Source organism: Homo sapiens, chromosome 19, assembly GCF_000001405.40.
Source record: "Homo sapiens chromosome 19, GRCh38.p14 Primary Assembly".
Classification (NCBI taxonomy): Eukaryota; Metazoa; Chordata; class Mammalia; order Primates; family Hominidae; genus Homo; species Homo sapiens.
Genome location: NC_000019.10, coordinates 39,382,052 through 39,404,588, shown reverse-complemented (window position 1 = coordinate 39,404,588; position 22,537 = coordinate 39,382,052). Strand labels below are relative to the sequence as shown.

At 54.0% G+C, this 22,537-nt stretch overlaps 3 protein-coding genes across 54 annotated transcripts in view, besides 5 other annotated features; 1 reads left to right on the top strand and 2 right to left on the bottom strand.

Moving 5' to 3' along the window:
* Positions 779 to 1,286: an enhancer, noted in NCBI's record as "NANOG-H3K27ac-H3K4me1 hESC enhancer chr19:39893943-39894450 (GRCh37/hg19 assembly coordinates)". NCBI's record gives its function as "activates a minimal SCP1, AML or CMV promoter by ChIP-STARR-seq in naive H9 embryonic stem cells {active_cell/tissue: H9 hESC(naive)}" and the evidence as "EXISTENCE:reporter gene assay evidence [ECO:0000049][PMID:30033119]".
* Positions 2,547 to 2,766: an enhancer, noted in NCBI's record as "active region_14615". NCBI's record gives its function as "activates an Ori minimal core promoter by ATAC-STARR-seq in GM12878 lymphoblastoid cells {active_cell/tissue: GM12878}" and the evidence as "EXISTENCE:reporter gene assay evidence [ECO:0000049][PMID:35858748]".
* MED29 (mediator complex subunit 29) lies at positions 3,948 to 13,211 on the bottom strand. Of its 3 annotated transcripts, none has more exons than NM_017592.4 (4): positions 12,951 to 13,211; positions 12,067 to 12,125; positions 10,952 to 11,036; positions 3,948 to 7,132 (listed from the first exon to the last, which is right to left on the bottom strand). In NM_017592.4, the coding sequence occupies exons 1-4, from the start codon at positions 13,164 to 13,166 to the stop codon at positions 6,890 to 6,892; spliced, it is 603 nt and encodes a 200-aa protein (NP_060062.2). In that variant the 5' UTR covers positions 13,167 to 13,211; the 3' UTR covers positions 3,948 to 6,889. The 3 variants fall into 3 exon arrangements, 2 of the variants coding, with proteins under 2 accessions (NP_060062.2, NP_001304699.2); NM_001317770.3 differs by having other exon boundaries at positions 3,948 to 7,062; NR_133915.3 differs by lacking the exon at positions 12,067 to 12,125.
* Positions 6,219 to 6,268: an enhancer, noted in NCBI's record as "active region_14614". NCBI's record gives its function as "activates an Ori minimal core promoter by ATAC-STARR-seq in GM12878 lymphoblastoid cells {active_cell/tissue: GM12878}" and the evidence as "EXISTENCE:reporter gene assay evidence [ECO:0000049][PMID:35858748]".
* Positions 12,867 to 13,156: an enhancer, noted in NCBI's record as "active region_14613". NCBI's record gives its function as "activates an Ori minimal core promoter by ATAC-STARR-seq in GM12878 lymphoblastoid cells {active_cell/tissue: GM12878}" and the evidence as "EXISTENCE:reporter gene assay evidence [ECO:0000049][PMID:35858748]".
* PAF1 (PAF1 component of Paf1/RNA polymerase II complex) lies at positions 13,483 to 18,960 on the top strand. Of its 3 annotated transcripts, none has more exons than NR_046384.2 (14): positions 13,483 to 13,771; positions 14,300 to 14,329; positions 14,428 to 14,520; positions 15,043 to 15,109; positions 15,206 to 15,307; positions 15,391 to 15,496; positions 15,574 to 15,642; positions 15,724 to 15,827; positions 15,913 to 16,029; positions 16,122 to 16,250; positions 17,362 to 17,430; positions 17,790 to 17,895; positions 18,017 to 18,107; positions 18,186 to 18,960. NR_046384.2 is itself a non-coding variant. In NM_019088.4 (14 exons), exons 1-14 carry the CDS (start codon positions 13,725 to 13,727, stop codon positions 18,596 to 18,598), a joined length of 1,596 nt encoding a protein of 531 aa, NP_061961.2. In that variant the 5' UTR covers positions 13,483 to 13,724; the 3' UTR covers positions 18,599 to 18,960. The 3 variants fall into 3 exon arrangements, 2 of the variants coding, with proteins under 2 accessions (NP_061961.2, NP_001243755.1); NM_019088.4 differs by lacking the exon at positions 17,362 to 17,430 and adding an exon at positions 14,828 to 14,949; NM_001256826.2 differs by lacking the exons at positions 14,300 to 14,329; positions 17,362 to 17,430 and adding an exon at positions 14,828 to 14,949 and having other exon boundaries at positions 18,370 to 18,960.
* SAMD4B (sterile alpha motif domain containing 4B) overlaps positions 13,825 to 22,537 on the bottom strand; it is a 48,344-nt gene continuing 39,631 nt past the window's right edge. For 14 of the 48 annotated variants that reach the window (NR_169272.1, NR_169273.1, NM_018028.4 and 11 more), the window contains 2 exons: positions 21,298 to 21,381; positions 19,701 to 21,090 (listed from right to left, as the gene is read on the bottom strand). Coding sequence is in view for 44 of the 48 variants with exons in the window: in NM_018028.4 (NP_060498.2) it covers positions 21,062 to 21,090; positions 21,298 to 21,381 (113 nt within the window). In the remaining 4 variants the exon portion in view is untranslated. Of the gene's footprint in view, positions 14,064 to 18,888; positions 21,382 to 22,537 lie in introns of those variants that run through there. The other 34 variants (NR_169271.1, NR_169274.1, NM_001384594.1 and 31 more) reach the window with 4 other exon arrangements.
* Positions 14,694 to 14,825: a silencer, noted in NCBI's record as "fragment chr19:39880404-39880535 (GRCh37/hg19 assembly coordinates)". NCBI's record gives its function as "represses an EF-1alpha promoter that drives an FKBP-Casp9 reporter gene in an ReSE screen in K562 erythroleukemia cells {active_cell/tissue: K562}" and the evidence as "EXISTENCE:reporter gene assay evidence [ECO:0000049][PMID:32094911]".

The window sequence follows — 22,537 nt, the reverse complement described above, 5'->3', positions numbered from 1 at the left end:
TGCCTCCCGGGTTCACGTGATTCTCCTGCCTCAGCCTCCCGAGTAGCTGGGATTACAGGCGCCGGCCACCACGCCCAGCTAATTTTTGTATTTTTAGTAGAGACGGGGGTTTCACCATGTTAGTCAGGCTGGTCACGAACTCCTGACCTCAGGTGATCCACCTGCCTCGGCCTCTTAAAGTGCTGGGATTACAGGTGTGAGCCACCGCACCCCGCCCAGACTACATTTTCAAGGATCATTCCCCACACTGGCACATCTTTTGTTATCAAAGGGTCGCCCTAAGTGAAAACCCTCTTAAGATCTAGGAAGACTATTTTCTAAGGGGTGCTGGAGAGCTGGATGCCCTGAGTGAAAATGTGGGGGTAGAAATCATTGCCACAGTGCGCAGTTATAATGGTGGAAAGTTCATTCTTGCAGGCTGCGGGCTTGTATTAAGGTGGGGAGATTCTGCCAGGCTCCACGTCGACCTGCTTCGTCCGAGAGCGGCGGGGGGGAATCCCTGGTGCGGCGCTTGCTGAGGGGCCTTCCCGGGCCGGTCTCGTGAGCTGGGCGGGCCGCGGGCGGCTCTGGCACGGTTGTGGCCTCCTGCTCGCCCGTGACTCACTCGCAAGGGGCGGGGGAGTGGGGGCTTCCTGGAAGCCGTGACGAGGAGGTTCAGCCCGGACACTCGGGTTCCTCTCCTGTAACCAGGGCTCCCGTCTCCTGTAAACAGAGCCTTGAGGACAACGGGGAAAAAGGGGGGAGGAGGGGGACCTGGGACCCGCCTCTAGGCCGATCTCCAAATCCTTACGCAGCTTAAAGGATTGAGGCGGGGAAAGGGGGGTTGGGGGCATCCTTGGGTTCGCGGAGCCCGGCTCAGCTCGGGCTGCGATCAATCCTGGAGGAGGGATTCCAGTTTCTACTCCCTGGAGACCGGGAGCATTTCCCATCCCTGAGTCAGGCTGTCCCCCTCCTCTCTCCCATCTGCTGAGTCATCGGCCCCAAGAGTCAGGACTTTTGGGATAGGGCCACTCTCAAAGGAGGGGGATGCTTTGCTCGCAGAAGGACTGGTCCTCCACCTCCCCAAACCCACAGACCTGGGGGACCCAGGAGCCAAGGCCTCAGTCCCTCCTCCCTCGCAGTAACCCAGGGCCCTGGGTCCCCAGCCCCTCCTCCCTCAGACCCAGGACTCCAGGCCCCCAGCACCCCCCTCCCTCGGATCCAGGGGTCCAGGCCCCCAGCCCCTCCTCCCTCGGAACCAGGGGTCCAGGCCCCCAGCTCCTCCTCCCTCAGATCCAGGGGTCCAGGCCCCTAACTCCTCCTCCTTCAGACCCGGGAGACTCCCAACCCCCCCTCCCTCAGACCCAGGGGTCCAGGCCTCCAGCCCCTCCTCCCTCAGATCCTCAGGTCCCCCGAGACCCCAGCCCCTCCTCCCTCAGACCCAGGGGTCCAGGCCCCCATCTCCTCCTCCCTCAGATCCAGCGGTTCAGGCCCCTAACTCCTCCTCCCTCAGACCCGGGAGACCCCCAGCCTGTCCTCGATCAGATCCAGGAGACCAGGCCCTCAGCCCTCCCCTCAGATCTCGGGCGTCCCAGGCCAGAAGGAAGTTCATGGCAGGACTCCTCCCTGCTCCCTACGTAGCCAGCGGGAAAATCCGCGGCCCCAGCGGCGGCCGGGAATCCCCTCTGGAATGACGGTGGGGAAGGGGATGGCCGGGGTCCCCCCGCGGGGCGCTGGGGCCAGTCCTGGGCGGGCGGGGAAAGAAGGAAAGGGGCGGAAACCAGAGAGGCTAAAAATACAGCCAACACTTCCGGCCTAGGGGGAGGGGAGGGGAGAGCAGAGTTTCCAGAAAAACAAGCGGGGACGGGAAACGCGGGGGTGTGAGAGCTGGCCGAGTGCGCGGGCGAGCTGGGGATCGTGTACCCGCGGCACGTGTGCTCGCGCCGTGTGTGCGCCTGGCGCGATTGCCTGGGCCTGAGCGGGCGTGGCCAAGGGCGGCGCTGGCCGTGTGTACCCTGGCCTGCGACTGCGTGGGCGGCGGGCCTGGGCTAGCCGTCATGTGTACCCGGTTGTGTGAACAGTATGTGTGCTTGCGGGTGCAAAGGTGTGCGCCTTGGCATCTGGGGCTGCGAGAGCCTGTGTGCCTGGGTATGCAGTGGGGGAACGTGAGGGACACGAGTGTGCCCAGTTTCCTGTGAGAAGGCTGTGTGCATACAATCCCGCATGACTTGGCTGTGTGAATCAATGTGTGAAACCGCCTGTGTGATCGACTGTACCGTGTGTACTTTGGCCATCTCTGGGTGTGGGGTGGATGCTCTGTTGTAACTGTACTGCAATTTGTCTCTGAGGCGGCATTCTTAAGAACATGAGATTTTCATCCCCACCTGCATATCTGTGCGTAGCTCTGAGCCACTGTGGGATCTGCAGTGACTAAGTGTGTGTAACTCCGCGCAGGTGCCTGGGTGAGGGAATGACTGCCCTCCCCTGTGACTGAGGCTGTGTGCACACACAACTTTGTGTGTGTGTGTTGCTTTGAGACAGGGTCTCGCTCTGTTGCCCAGGCTGGAGTGCAGCCTCGACCTCCCAGGCTGAATCGATCCTTCCACTTCAGCCTCCCAGGTAGTTGGGACTAAAGGCACGTGCCACCACACCCGGCACACACATTTGAAGCTGTGTCAGCATCTGTGACTCTGCAGCTGTGGCCGTGTGCAAGGCCTTTGTGGCTCAGTGTGTGTAGTCCCTGGGTGTGTGAAGTGTTCACATATGTCCACGTCCTTTGTCGTGGGTGTCTGAGACTGCATGTGCAGACCACAGCAGGCCGGCGTCTGAATGCAGTTCCTGTGGCCCGAGTCACAAGGCAGAGAAACCGATGAACTTTGGTTTCTGACGTCTACAGCCTGCGTGATGGGGAGAGTAGCTGGCGAGCTCCCCCCTCCATGTCACTGTTCTTGTGTCGGCCTCTGTGGGCAGAGCAGACGTGCAGACATGAGTACCTGAGAAGCTGGGGCAGCGCCGATGAGGCTGCTTCTGATAGTGCTGGGCTAAGGACAGGGCTGAGTCAGCCTGTGATGGGCAAAGTCTGCGATGGGGTGAGAGATAGCTTATCTGGTAAAGTGGTGGTTAGAGGGTTGTTTGTGTATTCATGTGGCTGGGTTGCTCCCTGAAAGTATGTTTGTGGGACTGTCAATGGGATGGGGTCCCTGGGGGCACCATGATTGTAGGATGGTGGGTTAGCTCTGCAGTGGGGCAGACATGCTGTGTGCTGGAGTCCCCACGGTCTGTTTTGTGGTGGCTGTGCACCTCACGTACACCCCGTCCCTGGAGCATGCAGTGTGCACCAGACTGTGTAGTCTCCCTCTGGGTTTAGTTACCTAGCAAACCCAAGTCCTCACCAAGGCCCTCTGTGACCTGTCTGGATTTCCTCTCCTATCCCTGCTCCCTCATTGTGCCCAAGCCTCCTTTTTATGTGTTCCATAAATCCCAGCACATTCCTGTCCCAGGTCCCTGGCACTTGCAGTTCCCTCTGTCTGGAGCACTCTTGCCTGGATGTGTGGATGTCCCCAAGCTCATTCCCTCTCCTTCGGGGCTGCTCTAATATCGCCTTCTCAGTGAGGCCTTCCTTGACCTCTGTCAAGGATTAAAACAAAAATTAAAAGGCCCACTGCAGTGGCTCGTGCCTGTGCCTGTAATCCCAGCACTTTGGGAGACCGAGGCGGGCAGATCACTTGAGGTCAGAAGCTCAAGACCAGCCTGGCCAACATGGTGAAACCCCGTCTCTACTAAAAATACAAAAATTAGCCAGGTGTGGTGATGCACGCCTGTAATCCCAGCTAGTTGGGAGGCTGAGGCAGCAGAATCACGTGAACCCAGGAGGCGGAGGTTGCAGTGAGCCGAGATGGCGTCACTGCACTCCAGCCTGGGCGACAGAGTGAGACTGGTCTCAAACATATATAAACAAGAATAAGAAAACCCTTGTCATCTATTTAATAATAAATACATGGAACATATATAAACCATAATGAATGCTCACGAAACCACAATCCAACTTAAGTTCTCAAACTTTTAATGTTTTTCAATAAAGTAACACGATTCTCCATATGCAGATGTTACATTTCATGTGTTAGATTTGCTAAGTATGATTTAATTATACATTTCCATTTTTTGATCTTCAACTTAATTACACTTAAAAAATGAGTATTTTGCTGGTGTAAACACCTCCACTTCTTTTTTTAAAAAAACAGGGTCTCCATGAACCAAGCTGGAGTGCAGTGGTGCGATCACAGCTCACTGCAGCTTCAACCTCTCAAGCTCAAGGCATCCTCCCACCTCTCAGCCTCCGAGTACCTGGGAACCTGGGCACGCACCACCACACCTGGCTAATTTTTGAATTTTTTGCAGATAAGGGCTTTTGCTATGTTGCTCGGACTGGTCTTGAATTCCTGGGCTCAAGCCATCTGCCTGCCTGCACCTCCCAAAGTGATGGGATTACAGGCCTGGGCCACTGTGCCTGGCCCCAACATCTCCACTTCTGATCTCATTTTTCTGTTTTCTCACCATCTGATATATTTTACTTTTGTCACATTTACTGTCTCTCACTAGAACATCAGCTCCACAAATACAGGCCTTGGGCACAAGATACCCAATGTGTTTGCTGAGTGCAACTCAGTGGTGCCCACCTCCGCCCTGTGCCTGATAGATGTGTATCCATCACCCCACCACCCACTGAGTGCCTCTGTGGGCTCCCTGGGTGTGGTTTTAAGCATTGGTAGGCCCTGTATCATGGGTGCTGGGCTATCAGGCCCCCCCACCTGTGTGTGATGTTGTGTTGACACCACCTGGGAGGGCCGACAGTCCCTCAGTCTTGTGTGTGCGCTCATGGACCGACATCTCCACCACTGCTGGTGGGCTCTGTTGGGGAAAGGGTTAGTTGTCTTCAGTTGTATGCAAGATAACTGCATCATGTTGGGTGGGACTATGACTATGTTATCGTACTTATTTGGAGATTAAGTGTGGTTAAGGAGATGTGTGAGGGTGCCCAGATGACAAGGACTAGATGGTCAGTTTTTTATTTTTTTTGAGACAGAGTCTTGCCCTGTCGCCCAGGCTGGAGTGCAATAGTGTGATCTTGGCTCACTGCAACCTCTGCCTCCCAGGTTCAAACGATTCTCCTGCCTCAGCCTCCCGAGTAGCTGGGACTACAGGTGTGTGCCACCACACCCGGCTAATTTTTTGTATTTTTAGTAGAGTCGGGGTTTCACCGTGTTGGCCAGGCTGGTCTCGAACTCCTGACCTTGTGATCCGCCCGCCTCGGGCTCCCAAAGTGTTGGGATTACAGGCGTGAGCCACCGCCCCCGGCCCGATGGTCAGTTTTATGTGTCAACTTGGACGGGCTACAGTCCCAGTTATTCAAACACTCATCTAGCTGTCGCCATGGAAGTGTTTTGTAGATGTGATTAAAGTCCATAATCAGTTGACTTTAGATAAGGGAGATTATCCTACAAAATCGGGGGATTGGGTAAAAAACTGATTCAATTAGATAAATGGGCAAAACTGAGGCTCCCCTGAAGGAGAAATTCCTCCTAGGGACAGCGCTTCAGCCTTCCTTCTTGCCCTACATGCTCGGGCACTTCAAGGAAGAATAAGGGGAGGAATTTCCTGGGACACACAGCTGGCCATTTCCCAGTTTTCCAGTGTGGGGACTTGGGCTCAGCGTGAATCACAGAGGTATCCATGGTCCTAGGGTTTCCTTGCAGACGTGGGGTCCAGGACAGGAGGCCATGGAGTGCGAATGTGGGAACCATGGCACAGAAGATACTGGGTGGGGCAGTTCTCCAACCAGGCTGAGTCACTTGAGGCTTTCACACCCCAACATCTGAGCCTGGGCTGGTAGCTCCGCCCTGCACTTGCTCAGGCCTGAAGGCTGAGGCTGAGCTTCCTGAAGCTTCCAGGGAAGCAGGGAGTCTGAGGGGGCACTCCCTCCTTGAAGCCCCCTCCCCAGTGCCTGCTTCCCGGAGCTGGGGCTCAGGCGCCTGGGTTCTTCCCCAGGACTGATGATTCACCCCGGCTGGGGCCTTTTCACTTCTCCTTTGGGGCTAAAAATACTGGGACCCAGGCATCCAGCTGGGCCAGCCTTGCCACAAATTGCACAACGCCCCTCACTCAAGTTCCGCTGACGCAGGCTTGGGTGGGGGCCTGAGTTGCTCCCTGCTCAGACCTGTGGAGCTCAGAGCCTGGGCCCCTCCACTGCTCCTCTCCTAGGCCAAGGACCCTGGGGTCTGGGCTGACATGCGAGCCGCTGGGGGACTCTGGGCTTGGCTGTGGCCCCTGGAAATGAAGTCCCTTCCCTTAGCCCCAGATAACCCAGGGGTGCTGGCCCCCTGCATAGACACAGAGTCCCAGTTAGGAGCTGGGGATAGAAGACAGCTAAAGGGGACTAAGAGAGAGAGGTCAGAGTGAGAGAAATAGGACCATGGGGAGAAACACATTAACAGGAACAGAGAAACAAGGGAAAAAGAGACAGGATGAGAGAGACACAACTGTAATAGAGACACAGAGGAGTGGCACACAGAGACCACCTCCCAGCTGGAGACAGTCAGGAAGGACTGAGGGAGAGGGGACAGCCAGGGCTCCACACCCAGGCAAGAATGGGGGAGGGCCTGTGGAACAGAGAAGTCATCAACACACACAGTTCAAAGTCTACCCTAGGCTAGGAGGGGGAGCAGGAAGAAGGGGCAGGGACGCAGGGGCCCGGCCTGCGAGCTCCCTGTTGGCCTCTGCTGCCCCCTGCTGGCTCCCGCTGCGGTGCTCAGGCAGGAAGAGAGGAGGCTGCTGTGTTTAGGCCCAGGACGCTCTTCATTCCCTTTGCACACCACCCACCAACCACTGCCTGCCCCACTCCCTGTCCCCCACTTCACAGAGTGCCCCCAGGGCCAGCAGGTGGTGCGGGTGTCTTGCCCGTGACCTTGTTGGCACAGTCCAGCAGGGCGGTGTGAATGTCCTTGGCACAGGAAATCTGGGCTTTGATGACCGCCAGGTACTGTGGGTAGGGGAGGCTGTCAGGCTGCACTGCGTCGGGCTTGGTGGCTGTGGGCACCAACGTTGGAGAGTGCTTGGCACTGTCACAACTCTGTGACAGGCACTCATGCGCCAGGCGCTGTGGACAGGCAGGCAAGGGGACAGCATCAGCTCCACCCGAGGTCATTCTACCCCACCCCAAGGGCCAGCTGGGGGTTGTCGGCTTGGCCTCTGGATTTCCCAGGTCTTAGAGTCAGAGGTTGGCCCTGCCAGTCATTTGCTGGGGAACCTGGGGGCATGGCGGCTACTCTTCTCTGAGCCTCAGTTTCCTCCTTTGGAAAACGGGTTTAATAACCACCTCTTCCTACCTCATAAGGTGAGAACAGTGAGAGCAGGTGTATGAGACACAGGCACGGGTCCTGGCACACTGTTTAAAGTGCCAAGAACTGTTAGCTACTATCATTGTTACTGCCCTGGCTCCAGGCCTGGTGTTGGCAGTGGCATCTCACCCCTGGTTTTCTGCCTGCTTCTCTGGCTGCTCTAGGTACTACTTTCTTTTTTTTTTTTGAGATGGAGTTTCGGTTTTGTTGCCCAGGCTGGAGTGCAATGGCACGATCTCAGCTCACTGCAACCTCCGCCTCCCAGGTTCAAGTGATTCTCCTGCCTCAGCCTCCCGAGTAGCTGGGATTACAGGCACCCGCCACCACACCCGGCTAATTTTTTTTTTATTTTTAGTAGAGACAAGGTTTCACCACATTGGCCATGCTGGTCTCAAACTCATGACCTCAGGTGACCGACCCGCCTCAGCCTCCCAAAGTGCTGGAATTACAGGCATGAGCCACCGCGCCCAGGCTTTTTTTTTTTTCTTTTGAGGTGGAATCTCGCTCTGTTGCCCAGGCTGGAGTGCAGTAGCACGATCTTGGCTCACTGCAACCTCTGCCTCCTGGGTTCAAGTGATTCTTCTGCCTCAGCCTCCAGAGGAGCTGGCACTTCAGGTGCATGCCACCAAGCCTGGCTAATTTTTGTATTTTTAGTAGAGACGGGATTTCACCATATTGGCCAGGCTGGTCTCGAACTCCTAACCTCGTGATCTACCCGCCTTGGCATCCCAAAGTGTTGGGATTACAGGCATGAGCCACTTGTGCCCGGCCCCTTTTTTTTTGGAGACAGTCTCGCTCTGTTACCCAGGCTGGAGTGCAGTGGCGCCATCTTGGTTCACTGCAACCTCCACCTCCCGGGTTCAAGAGATTCTCTTGTCTCATCCAAGTAGCTGGGATTTCAGGTGCACGCCACCATGCCTGGCTAATTTTTGTATTTTTAGTAGAGACAGGGTTTTGCCATGTTGGCCAGGCTGGTCTTGAACTCCTGACCTTGTGATCTGCCCGCCTCAGGCTCCCAAAATGCTGGAGTTACAGGCACAAGCCACCGCGCCTGACCAGCTCTAGGTACTTCTTACACTACCTAAGACGTAAGTGCAGCCATTCCTAGGCCCTGTCTTCTCTCACTGTTCAAGCCCTCCCAGGGCTGTCACACCCACGCACACCACTCAGTTTCCACCTCTGCACTAATGGCGCCCACACTGTCGCTGGCCTCCCCCTGACATTTGTAGGGCCCTTGTACTCCCCAAAACTGCTTCTCCTAGGTCCCTGTTTCGGGGACAGTCCTCCTTTTTTTTTTTTGAGACGGAGTCTCGCTCTGTCACCCAGGCTGGAGTGCAGTGGTGCGATCTCGGCTCACTGCAAGCTCTGCCTCCCGGGTTCATGCCATTCTCCTGCCTCAGCCTCCCTAGTAGCTGGGACTGCAGGCGCCTGCCACCACGCCCGGCTAATTTTTGTATTTTTAGTAGAGACGGGGTTTCATCGTGTTAGCCAGGATGGTCTCGATCTCCTGACCTTGTGATCCGCCTGCCTCGGCCTCCCAAAGTGCTGGGATTACAGGCATGAATCACCGGGCCCAGTGACAGTCCTCCATTATAAACCAGAGTCCTGGGCCTCATCCTAGAAACTTTATCTCCTTCCAGCACACCGGTCCTGTGGCCCATATACAAAGCCCTGCACACGAAGCCTCTCAAGTTCCCCCAGTCTTCCCCATTTCCTCACGACCCCGCCCTGGTGGAGCCCAGTCCAGGCGTCCTTGGATCCTGCCATGGCTGCGCCCTTGGGCTCCTGCCTCCAGGGTTCAACCTCCCCTCATTTGTCAGCCAGAGGTATATTCCTAAAAAGCAGATAGGTCCATATTCTTCCCTGCTTGAAACCCTCCATGCTTCCCCAGTGCCCTTAGGATTATATTCAAAATCCAACAAGCCCTATGCCTACCACACCTCAGCCAGAATGAATTACTTGATGTTCCTAAAACAAATTTAAAGCAAATGTTATTCCCTCTGTTTGGAACATGGTTCTGACACTACCAAGCTTCTCAACCTCCCACTTTTCCTTCAAAACCCAGGCCAGGCCCGGCACAGCGGTCTGTAATCCCAGCGCTTGGGAGGCTGAGGTGGGTGAATTGCTTGACCCCAGGAGTTCAAGACTGGCCTGAGCAACATGGCAAAACCCCGTCTCTACAAAAAATACAAAAATTAGCCAGGCATGGCAGTGCATGCCTGTAGTCCCAGCTACTTTGAGGTGGGAGGATCACTTCAGCCCAGGAAGTAGAGGCTGCAGTGAGCCGAGACTGTGCCACTGCAGTCCAGCCCGGGCGACACAGTGAGACTCTGACTTGGAGGAAAAAAAAAAAAAGCCGGGTGTGGTAGCTCACGCCTGTAATCCCAGCACTTTGGGAGGGTGAGGTGGGTGGATCACAAGGTCAAGAGATCAAGACCATCCTGGCCAACATGGTGAAACCCCATCTCTACTAAAAATACAAAAATTTGCTGGGCGTGGTGGTGCGTGCCTGTAGTCCCAGCTACTCAGGAGGCTGAGGCAAGAGAATCGCTTGAACCTGGGAGGCCAAGGTTGCAGTGAGCTGAAGTCGCGCCACTGTACTCTAGCCTGGCGACAGAGTGAGACTCTGTCTCAAAAAAAAAAAAAAAAAAAAAAAAAAGGCCGGGTGCAGTGGCTCATGCTTGTAATCCTAGCACTTTAGGAGACTGAGGCGGGTGGATCACTTGAGGCCAGGAGTTCAAGACCAGCCTGGCCAAAATGGTGAAACCCCATCTCTACTAAAAATACAAAAATTAGCCAGGCGTGGTATGCCTATAGTCCCAGTTACTTGGGAGGCTGAGGCACCAGAATCGCTTGAAACTGGGAGGAGGAGATTGCAGTGAGCCTAGATCGTGCCACTGCACTCCAGCCTGGGTGATGGTGAGACTGTCCTCCCCCACACCCCCCCACCAAAAAAACCAGTCCAAAATAATGATGATACTACAGTACACATTTGCCATATGCCTGGTATCATGTTAAGCAGTTTACACGCATAATCTAAGTTTTCCTGGAAACTCCGTTTTCCTAAGGAGGAACCCAGAGGTCAGAGGTAGAGATTGATGGTGCATCTGACTCCAGAGGCTGTATTCTTAGTCACTTACCCTCCTCTCAACTCCTGCCCCTCTTCTCTTCTTTGTTTCAGACTTGGTCAGATGTGCTGTCTAGCAGTAGCCTTCCCTAAGCCACTCTCTCCCTATCCCCACCCTGGGCTTCCACACTGAGATTTCCCCATCCCAGCCCTGATCCCTCTGCCTGTGCCTCCTCAATCATAACCCTAACCACTCTGGCCTAGGCTTCTCCCATCACAGCACTGACCACTCTGAGCTGTCACTGTTTAGGGGTGTGCTTATTATTCCACTCAACTGAAAGCTCTGCAAGGGCAAGGATCAGAGCAACCCTGTGTCCTCAGTGTTGGTGGAAGCACAGGTCTGGCCCACAGGAGGTCCCCAGTTGAGTGTGAGTTGACTGACTGACTGTTTCTGAAGACCCCAGAGACTGGGACACGGCTGTTGTTACCCCGTGTCCAGAAGGCTTCTTACCAGGCACAGCTCCAGCTGGTCACAGAGTGCATAGAACTCTTCCAGGCACTTGTCAAAGCGCTGTATGGGTCCATCACTGCTCTTTCTACAGACAAGGAAAAAAGGATGTCTGAAGAATTGATTTCTAATCTTTGGGACACCAGTATCTACCCAACCAAGTGTCCATCAGGAAACCAGGTACAGGTCCAGGAGATCTGAAGTAGTGGTTGAAAACCGGAGGGGTTCAAAAAAAAAGAAAAGGAGGCTGGGCACGGTGGCTCACGCCTGTAATCCCAGCACTTTGGGAGTCCGAGGCGAGCAGATCACCTGAGGTCAGGAGTTCAAGACCAGCCTGGACAACATGGTGAAACCCCATCTCTACTAAAAATACAAAAATTAGCCAGATGTGCTGGCACGCGCCTGTAGTCCCAGCTACTTGGGAGGCCGAGGCAGGAGAATCATTTGAACCCGGGAGGCAGAGGTTGCAGTGAGCTGAGACTACACCACTGCACTCCAGCCTGGGCGACAGAGCAAGACTCTGTCTCAAAAAAAAAAAAAAAAAAAAAAAAAAAAAAAAGAAAAGAAAGAAAGAAAGAAAGAAAAGGAAAAGGCTGGGCATGATGGTTCATGCCTGTCATCCCAGCACTTTGGGAGGCCAAGGTGGAAGGACTGTTTGAACCCAGGAGTTTGAGACCAGCCTGGACAACGTGGCAAGACCCTGTCTCTACAAAACAACAACAAAAATAAAATAAAATAGGAGAAGTGATTCGTGAGGCTGAGGGGATGGCTAGAGGCCAGGAGTTTGAGACCAGCCTGGGAAACATAGCAAGACTCCGTCTCTATAAAAAAATCTTACAAATTAGCCAGGCATCTGTAGTCTGTAGCCATGTCTGTAGTCCTGGCTACTTGGGAGGCTGAGGCAAGAGGATCTCCTAACTCAGGTGTTCAAGGCTGCAATGAGCCAAGATCGTGCCACTGTAGTCCAGCCTGGGTGACAGAGGGAGACCCTGTCTCAAAAAAAAAAAAAAAAAAAAGTAAATATAGAAGGTGAGGTGGGCGGGGAGCAGGAGAAGGAAAGATGAATTTCAAAGACTGGGAAGGCAATAGAATATCCTGGTAAAGGGGGCTGCACTCACTGTCCATTGTCGATGTTAGTGTTCTGAATCAAGTTTTGGGCCGCAACCTTCATCAAGGTCTAGTCAAAACAAAAACAAAACACGTGGGAAATGGAAAAACAAAAGGGAATACCTCTGGCAGATCTACACTCTTTCTTGAGATCACTCAGTCTCAGGTTTTCTTTTCAACTGGCACCTTCCCTCCTGACTTTCCAAAGTAATATTCGTTTCCATTCCTATAGCTGTCACCACTCCATCCTCCCAGAGGCCCGCTCTCACCTGAGCTTCTCGCCAATAACCTAAGGGTCCTCCCTCACCTATCAATCAAGGGCAGAATCTCCGTATAAGCCAGTACTCTCCTCAGGCTTTAACGACCAGAGCCCAGTTTCTCCTTTAAACAACCCCTCACTCAAGCTCCGGCCAGTCCCAGCCTCAGCATCAGCGCTGATCCCATCTCTGCCGAGCTTCGCTTAGGTCTCGCAGAAAACAACAGTTTTATTTATTTATTTATTTATTTTTTTGACGGAGTCTCGCTCTGTTGCCCAGGCTGGAGTGCAATGGCACGATGTCGGCTCACTGCAACCTCCGCCTCCTGGGTTCAAGCGATTCTCCTGCCTCAGCTTCCCGAGTAGCTGTAATTACAGGCGCGCGCCACCATGCCCGGCTAATTTTTGTATTTTTAGTAGAGACGAGGTTTCACCAGGCTGGTCTTGAACTCCTGACCTCAAGTGATCCGCCCGCCTCGGCCTCCCAAAGTGCTGGGAACACAGGCGTGCACCAGCCAGGCCAAAACAGCAGGTTCTATTCCTCTTTCTGCTTAGCGCTCTCTCCGACTAACCTGGCCCTCGGCCTGCCCCTCTAGACTACCAAATCCAGTTTGCTTCTCGCTGCTTAAGGCCAATCACCTGTAGACTCTCCTTCAGCTGCGGGATGAGCATCTTATAACGCTGCACAGGATCGAAGTCCTGTTGCTGTTGCTGCAGGAGGCCGCTCTGGGCAGGGCCCACCAGTTGTGCTGGCGGTTGCGGCTGCTGCTGGGGACCCGGGCCGCCAGCCGAACTAGGACCCGATACACCAGCAGCTGAGGAAGCCGCTGAAGCTTGCTGCTGGGATGCAGCCATCTTCCTCGCGTAGACCGCCGGAAGTGCGTTACGACTGCGTCTCTCCCCGTTGCTTTTCAGCATCCCTATTTCTAGTCCCCGTTTGCTAGTTAGTCCCGCCCCCTAGGCAATTAAGCCAATGGAGGGGAAGGAGGTGCCCCAACGTTACGTCACTCTCAAATCTGCGTCCAGACTGAGATATCTCTCCACCAATCACAGAAGCACCTCTCTCCCTCGCTCCGCCCTTCACCCAGACGCTCGCCAATCCGTGTGTGGTTCCGAGCCGGACTTCATTTCCCCGAAGGCGTCGCGGCCTGAGGAGACCCGTTGGGTCCTCAGCGTCTTGGCGGCAGTTGGTGGAACCGGAGCTTCGAGTCCGTCCCCGGTGCTGCCTGCGCGTTCACCTGAGTCTCGCTGGAGCTCTTCTCGCCCGCCCACCTCATCTCAACCCACTTTCCGCGGGGAGCGGCGCCAAGCTGGGCCTTCCTCGGATCAGGCGTCCCCTGAAGTCGGCACGCCCCTCTGCGTCCCCCTTCGGTCCCGCTAGGACCCCGTCCGGGCTGCCGTCGCCTCGTCGCTATGGCGCCCACCATCCAGACCCAGGCCCAGCGGGAGGATGGCCACAGGTAGGCGCCACGCTTTTCTGTTGCAGCAAGGCGGGGGATCGGGAGAGGGTTTCTGCTGAACAACGTCACCAGCCCCCAGGTCTGCCCGTGACGTCATGAAGCGCTCACCTTTGACGAAGGGGGCGGGTTCCTTCTGAGATTCAGGTGTTCCCCTCCTCCCCGCCGTGCAGTTCAGGGATTAGGCTTTTGGAGACTCCCTCCAGAAGGGATCCCTCCAGTCAACCGTTTGGAGACCCCTCTTCCGAAGACGATTGAGTACATGGTTCTTTATTAAAGCACTTGAAGCCATCTCCTGCAAAAGGGATTGAGCACTTGGCCTTGTTCATTAAAGCTTTTGGGGGCATTTCTTCCTAAATAAATTGAACATTTGTCTCCTTCCATTAAAGCATTTGGACACTCCCCACACCACCACCCAAAGAAACCAGCATTTGTCACCCCTCCTACCTTTTGAAAGGTTGGGGAAGCCTTTTTCATTCTCCTGTCAATCCCGTCCTCTCCACCTATCACTGTTTCTTTCTTCTCCACTAGGCCCAATTCCCACCGGACTCTGCCTGAGAGGTGAGCCCCACTGTGCTTTCCCAGGAGCGGTGGGGCAGTGGGGCTGGGAGCAGAGGTGGGGCAGCGGGGGCCCACTTTTGAGCCACTAATGTTCCTAGGTCTGGAGTGGTCTGCCGAGTCAAGTACTGCAATAGCCTCCCTGATATCCCCTTCGACCCCAAGTTCATCACCTACCCCTTCGACCAGAACAGGTGAGACTAAGGAATGGGAAAACTACTCAGGTATGAGTTCCTTGAAGGCAGGGACTGCTTGTCTCGTTGGCTGCTGTCTGCTCAGGGCCTAGCACAGTACCTACCCTAGCACATAGTAGTAGCTGCTCAATTGTTAATGGAGCAAGCAGTGTCCAAGTCCCTTCCCACTGGGGAGCCAGCTTTCAGACTCTGCCATGGGGGACACTTCATTCTGAGTTCCTCCCCAGAGAAGCTCCGCCTCTGGGAAGCAGGGCTGTGAGGGGTGAAGCTGGAATCCAAACACCACAATAGGTGTTTCCCCACCCAGGTTCGTCCAGTACAAAGCCACTTCCTTGGAGAAACAGCACAAACATGACCTCCTGACTGAGCCAGACCTGGGGGTCACCATCGATCTCATCAATCCTGACACCTACCGCATCGACCCCAATGGTGTGTGGGGAGACAGGGAGGGTCTGCTCTAGGTCAGCAAAGGCTCAGGCCTGGGCCTCCCTCATGGTCCTCCTGCCCCCCGCTCTCCTCTAGTTCTTCTAGATCCAGCTGATGAGAAACTTTTGGAAGAGGAGATTCAGGCCCCCACCAGCTCCAAGAGGTGAGTGGGTAGCAAATGGGTACTGGAGACTGGCTCAGGTGGGCCCTACAAGCAGGAGGGCAGTGGGGTCCTGAGATACCTGATTTCCCACCCCAGATCCCAGCAGCACGCGAAGGTGGTGCCATGGATGCGAAAGACAGAGTACATCTCCACTGAGTTCAACCGTTATGGCATCTCCAATGAGAAGCCTGAGGTCAAGTAAGTTACTAACAGGAAGAGAGGGAAGGTGGAGATATTAGGTGTGTCCAGTGGCCCCTAAGGACCTTTTTCTTCATTCCTAGGATTGGGGTTTCTGTGAAGCAGCAGTTTACCGAGGAAGAAATATACAAAGACAGGGATAGCCAGATCACAGCCATTGAGAAGACTTTTGAGGATGCCCAGAAATCAGTAATTGAGGGACTGGGATGGGGAGAGGCAAGGGTGCGGCTGCAGAGCTCCTCCTCACCTTGTTTTTGTTCCACCAGATCTCACAGCATTACAGCAAACCCCGAGTCACACCGGTGGAGGTCATGCCTGTCTTCCCAGACTTTAAGGTCAGGCCCAAGGTGGGAGGTAGAAAGGGACAGCCTATTTGTGCCTGTTCCCATCTAACCCCAGTGCCTCCATCTCCCTAGATGTGGATCAATCCATGTGCTCAGGTGATCTTTGACTCAGACCCAGCCCCCAAGGACACGAGTGGTGCAGCTGCGTTGGAGATGATGTCTCAGGCCATGATTAGGTAGGTGGTCCTGCTGTCCACCTTGGCCTGCTCCTTGCTGCCTCTTGTCCTCACACTTCATTGCTACTCCTTTTCCCCCAACCAGGGGCATGATGGATGAGGAAGGGAACCAGTTTGTGGCCTATTTCCTGCCTGTAGAAGAGACGTTGAAGAAACGAAAGCGGGACCAGGAGGAGGAGATGGACTATGCACCAGATGATGTGTGCGTGGGTTGCGGTTAAGTTTTGGGGATTGGGAAGTTTTGGGGATTGGGATAGGGAAGAAATGGGGCTGAACCTGTGCCCTCATCTTCAGGTATGACTACAAAATTGCTCGGGAGTACAACTGGAACGTGAAGAACAAAGCTAGCAAGGGCTATGAGGAAAACTACTTCTTCATCTTCCGAGAGGGTGACGGGGTTTACTACAATGAGTTGGAAACCAGGTACTCAGCACACTCCTATCTGATTAGCCTGGATCTGTGCTTCTTAAGACCCTGGGGCATGCAAGAGCCACCTTGGAGGTCATTTGTACCTAAGAATTTGTCATATGCATTGGTAAACAAGAGCAGCAGATGTCTGGTCATGCACATGAGCTGGACTTGGTTCTAACAGGAGGAGCCAGAAAAAAAATCTTTTTTTTTGAGATGGAGTCTCGCTCTGTTGCCCAGGCCAGAGTGCAGTGGTGTGATCTCAGCCCACTGCAACCTCCGCTTCCTGGGTTCAAGTGATTCTCCTGCCTCAGCCTCCTGAGTAGCTGGCATCACAGGCGTGTGCCAGCATGGCCAGCTAATTTTTTTTGTATTTTTAATAGAGATGGGGTTTCACCATGCTGGCCAGGCTGGTCTTGAACTCCTGACCTCAGGTGATCTGCCTGCCTCGGCCTCCCAAAGTGCTGGGATTACAGGTGTGAGCCACCACGCCCAGCCAGAATATCTTAATGCAGGAGACATTTAGAGCCTTTGCGCAAGGCAGAGGGCCAAGTTTCCCAGTATTAGTAACAGACTTCATGTGAAAGTAAACATTGCCAAAGTATGGAGTAATATATAAAATTAGCATGAATGTTTTAAATGAAATGCTTAAACCCATGTTCAAAAATGTGACTCCAAAACTCTTCCCTTATGGCTCAAAGTTTACTGCTATGCCAGCACCTCTGGTGTAGAGTTGGGAAGTCTTGAGTTTCTGTTTAAAGCAGAGATTACAAGAACTGTGACCCCATAGGCCAGGCAGGAAATGTAAAAGAGCAGTGGCTGGTAGCATCTGAGTGACCTGGAGTTCTGGGCAACCATGGAGGGCACTATTCACTTCCAGCCCACTGTTGCTGTGCTGTGGGGCCAGAAATTCCTATCTTCCAAAAGCCCCAAATCCAAATGATTTGACATCTCCTGGTTTCTCAAAGTGTTGGTAACTAACTGACACATACAGTAATGCACTGCATGTTTCAGTCAACAATGGACTGCTTATGGTGGTCCCTTAAGATAGAATACCGTATCTTTACTATACCTTTTCTATGTTTAGATACACAAATACTTACTATTGTATTACAATTGCCTGCAGTATTCAGTACAGTCACATGCTGTACAACCTTGTAGCCTAGGAGCAATAGGCTACACCATTACAGCCTAGGTATGTAGTAGGCTATACTATGTACGTTTGTGTAAGAGTACTGTATGATGTTCACATGATGTATATCTCAGAATGTGTCCCTGTTAAATGGCCCATGCCCGTATTTATGTAAATACACCGTATAACACACACACACAGTGTAGGGCAACCAAACTGGTGCCATGGGAGCCATCCTTCCTTTCCCCTGCCCTCAATACCTTGAGCTTAGCTGCCCTTATTCAATCTGTATTTATTCCCATTTACTCTAAGTATTGATGGGGAACCAAGTCAGACCAGACCCCTCACTGGGGGGCGGGGAAGTGGGAGGTGTGTCTTTAACTGCATCTTCCACTTCTCTCTCCCAAATTCACCCCCTGCAGGGTCCGCCTTAGTAAGCGCCGGGCCAAGGCTGGGGTTCAGTCAGGCACCAACGCCCTGCTTGTGGTCAAACATCGGGACATGAATGAGAAGGAACTGGAAGCTCAGGTAACAAGCACCACTGGCTCAGGGCACCCATGGCAGGGAGGGTGGTGGTTGTAGGTGAGGAGGGGGACAAAAACCCAGCAGAACACCCTCCTTCCCCTCATTCCAATCTTGCTGCTTCCAGGAGGCACGGAAGGCCCAGCTAGAAAACCACGAACCGGAGGAGGAAGAGGAAGAGGAGATGGAGACAGAAGAGAAAGAAGCTGGGGGCTCAGGTAAATCTGGACAGGCCAGACTCTGGGAGCCCTGGGAGGGTGGAAAAGTGGGTTTCATCTCTCTCCACTCCCTTCCAGATGAGGAGCAGGAGAAGGGCAGCAGCAGTGAGAAGGAGGGCAGTGAAGATGAGCACTCGGGCAGCGAGAGTGAACGGGAGGAAGGTGACAGGGACGAGGCCAGTGACAAGAGTGGCAGTGGTGAGGACGAGAGCAGCGAGGATGAGGCCCGGGCTGCCCGTGACAAAGAGGAGATCTTTGGCAGTGATGCTGATTCTGAGGACGATGCCGACTCTGATGATGAGGACAGAGGACAGGCCCAAGGTGGCAGTGACAATGATTCAGACAGCGGCAGCAATGGGGGTGGCCAGCGGAGCCGGAGCCACAGCCGCAGCGCCAGTCCCTTCCCCAGTGGCAGCGAGCACTCGGCCCAGGAGGATGGCAGTGAAGCTGCAGCTTCTGATTCCAGTGAAGCTGATAGTGACAGTGACTGAGTCCCAGGGCATTCAGGGCTGGTTCAGACACCATTATTGTGAGCAGCAAAGCACTTTTCTAGTGGTCTGTTTGTGAGCCTTTCACTTGTTTGTTCCCCACCCCCAAACCTTTGCTGTTAATAAAGTCAACTTCTCTTTACTTCCCCTCCCAGCCCCTATGATGTCATTCAGCCCAGCACATACCTCCCGCAACCCCCAGGTGCTCAAGGATCTTGGCTTGAGGCTTAGAAACACAGGCCAGAGGCAGGGCCAATGGTTTCCCACAAAATGTAGCACAACGAAGGTCAGAATTCGTTTTTTTTGTTTGTTTTTTTTTTTTCCAAAATAAGCCCAGACCATTAAACAAGTGAAACTCCAACAAATAAGTCTTCTCCAACAGCGAGAAAAACTGTACAGTTACTCAAAGCTGATTCTGCCAGTGGGGCCGGGGACAGAAGTGGGTAGGGAGGGTGAAATCATGGAGGAGGGCCTGGGGAGGGGGCTGGAGCGGGAGAGGGTCAGGGTCCTGCCCATCAGAGTGGGGCCGCCTGCGTCCTGCACACTCTGCTGTCAGGTGGGGTGGGGGGCAGCTCTTGCCTCCCTGTGTGTGTGAGACGGTGTCCCTCACCACCTCCCAGTGCCAGGCACAGTCAGCTCACCCTGATGGAGAGTGAACAAGACAGGACAGGCTGGGGAGAGGGGAGGGTCCCATGAGAGGGACACCCTGCTGATTCCAAACGAGGTGGCCCATCCATCCCACTTCCTGCAGCTAGTGGGAGGGGGACTGGAGAAGCCCTGGGAGATTGAGGGGATGAGCAAAGGCACAGAAACATGGAGGGCCGGGGTGGGGGACTTGCATAGGTTGATGAGTGTGCAAGAGGTACATAAATAAACCTGACACCCCACCCAGCCCGGCACTGGGAGAGGAAGTGGGGACCCAGAGCCAGGTTCCCAGGGCCACCCTACCCCCTGGCTTCTTCCCCCTCCCTGGGCTCAGAGCAGAGGGAAGTCCACAGACCAGGAGGGCGGGGGCAAGAAGGTCTGGGGAATGGGGTGATAGTGCAGGGAGGGTGGTGGTTTTAAAATTTTTTTTTTTTTTGTTTTTTTTGTTTTTTTCCCAACATTTTGTATCTTTAATAACATACACAATGGTTACCAGCCATATTCATAACAAAAGTTATTCATAAAATGTATCTAAAAATAACATTTTTTTTCCTTTTCGGTGTGAAAAGCTTGAGAATGTCCCAGTTGGGAAGGTGGGTTGAGGGGGAGGAGGGCGTTGAAGAGGGAGACCCTGGCTTCCCCGCAGTCTGAACCCCCAAATCCCCTCCCTCCACCTGGGCCCCAACACAACCCCTCATTAGGAATAGGGACCAGACAGTCTGTCGGACTCTGGGGCTGGGACGAATCTCTGGGTTATGATATAGTGTTCCACTTAAGTGAGGTCATGACATAATGGGGGAAGGAAAAAGGCTGAAAGAAAAGGGAGGGGCTTAGGGAAAAACCCAAAAACCAAACAATCCCCTTTCCCTTATTCCTGACTCCCAAGTCTCACCAACCAGACCTGGGAGCGGAGAAGGGTGTGTGTTCGTGGGGAAGGGGACGTTAAGGCAACAGACTTCCTGACCTCACTGGCTACCCTGGCTGCCCACCTCCAACCTCTTCATCCGGGTAGCCAGGGCTGGAGGAAAATGGGTTAGAGCTTGAGGGTCTGGAGGAGGGGGCTCTGCCCTCTCCCCTCATAAAGTTCAGGCTCTCCCTGCCACTGTCTTGGCTGAGAGAGACCTGGGGATTCTAAAAATGAGAGGAAATGATCAGAGAAAAACCGTTAAGAACTATATAAATATGTATCTTAAATAGGCCTAAGAAATTAATCATAGAGAACCTCTGGTGAACAGGGCCAGGGGAGGTGAGAGAGAGGAAGGTGGCTCCTGTCCTTGCAGAATGTGGGGAATGGTGAAGGGGAAGCAGGGAGAGGAGAGAGAGCTTCCTCTCCTTGCTCCCCTTCCTTCTCCCCAGCTCCTCTCAATAACATTCTGGAGGGCAGGTTCTCTGCCCTGCGCGTCACCCCAAATGTCAAATGTTTCTGAGCAGGCTCCACAAGGTAGTGGTCAGTTTGTCTCTGGGGAGTCTGCTCCCTTGGGGAGAGGCAGGTGGTCAGCGGTCTGGAGGAGGCAGGGGTGGGATGGGACCAGGTGGGGATGAGGAAGGAAAGGAGAGAGGCAGGCAGTCTGGCCAGTCCCTGCCCCCTTTATCCTGGCTGCCCCCAACTCCCCGGGCCTCAGCAGAGATCCCTCGACGGGCCTGGGAGTGAGCAAGGCATGTGCCAATGTTAAACAAAAGTTAAGAGGGTAAGAGAGTAGAAAAATATTAGAATATATAGCTGAGCCAGCCCACCCTCTCGCTGTCGCGGAGAAGCCCGTTGGGGGTTGGCCCCCGCCCGCCGCCCAGGGAGCCTATGGGTGCGCTGGGCTGTGGGTCCCGTCAGATGGTGGAGGTTTTGTCTGTCCCATCTGTGGTAAGAAAGGGAGGAAGGGAGGAAGATCAGGAGCTGGAGGGAGGCCCAAGAAAAGGCACTCAGGTAGCCTGTCATCCCAGTCAGGCCCTCCCTGGAGTCTGGCCTCCCCTGGGGACCCCTCAGGATGACTCTGAGTTGCTCAGTTCAGAGGCAGAGACGCTGGGTAGGTGGGAGCTGGGTCAGGGAAAGAGGAAATGCTCACCACCCAAGGCGTGTTCTGTCATGCTCAGACACAGAGACTCCAGAGTGGGATTGATCTCCAGGTCAGGCCCAGGAACCGGGCAGTCTGGGTGGGAGAGAGGAGAATGGGGGTGGTAAGGACCAACTGGACTCAGGTGAAGACAGCTGGGATGACAAAGGATGCTGGTATGGGAAGGGAGCAAGAGAGATGGAGGGGGAGAGGGAAGAACGGGAGGAGGTGGACAGGGAGAGAGGCGAGCGTGTCACACAACAGGCAGAGGAGACAATGGCAATGGCAGAGGCTTGGCAATACAGAAAAAGCCCGACTTGCAGAGAGTGGAATTGAAACTGAAGGAGCTCCTGGAGGCCACACACAGCCTGCTGTGACTACTCTGGACACAGACTGCATACTGTCTTGAGCACAGTCTGGGCATCTGCCCTGGACACTGGGCAGCCCCCAAGGCTCCCTGATTGAAGACCTGCTCTGTACTTGGTGCAAAAGCTAAATCAAAACCCTTCCTGTCCCCACTTGGACCTGCTCCTCTGGGCAGGATTCAATCCAGGCAGGCCAGGCAGGTGGGGGCAAAGTAGGACAACCACCATGGGACTTGTCCTCAAACCACACTTCTCAAAAGGGCCTCCTATTCGGGCATCTGGGAAACCACCCACCTCCCTGGGCAGACCTGACCTCCCTCACTACACTGCTTAAACCCTTCCCTGACTCCTCACTGCCATCAGGACAAAGTCCGAGCTGTTTACCTGGATTTAGACGACCCAGCTCCCATCTCCACCCTCATCTCTCATCACTGTTCCCTCTGAACCCTGAGCTCATGTCGTATCAGATCACCCAATTGTCTCTCCTTAAAAAAAAGAATTTTTTTTTTGAACTTGGGCAAGACCTGTCTCAGATTGCTGACTGATGAATAACATCAGCGTCCTTACACATACAGTTGGGAGGAGTCAATCAGTGCAGGAGAGCTGTCTGACAAAGCCTGGGACACAGCATGCTGGTAAAGAGAATGGTTCTTGTTCATTCCTGCGGTTCATCCACCTGCTTGTTTAACATCATTTACAGATGCCTACTGTGTGTCAAGCCCTGTGCTAGGATGAACATGATGGATGGGTTCCCACGGCCTCAACAGATGGCTGTCTACACAACCTCATCAAGTAAGACTCCTGACTGACTTGGCAGTTTATGACATGAATTCTGCAAATCCATGCTCTCTCTAGAGTCAGCCCATTCCAGACGAGCCTTATCTGTC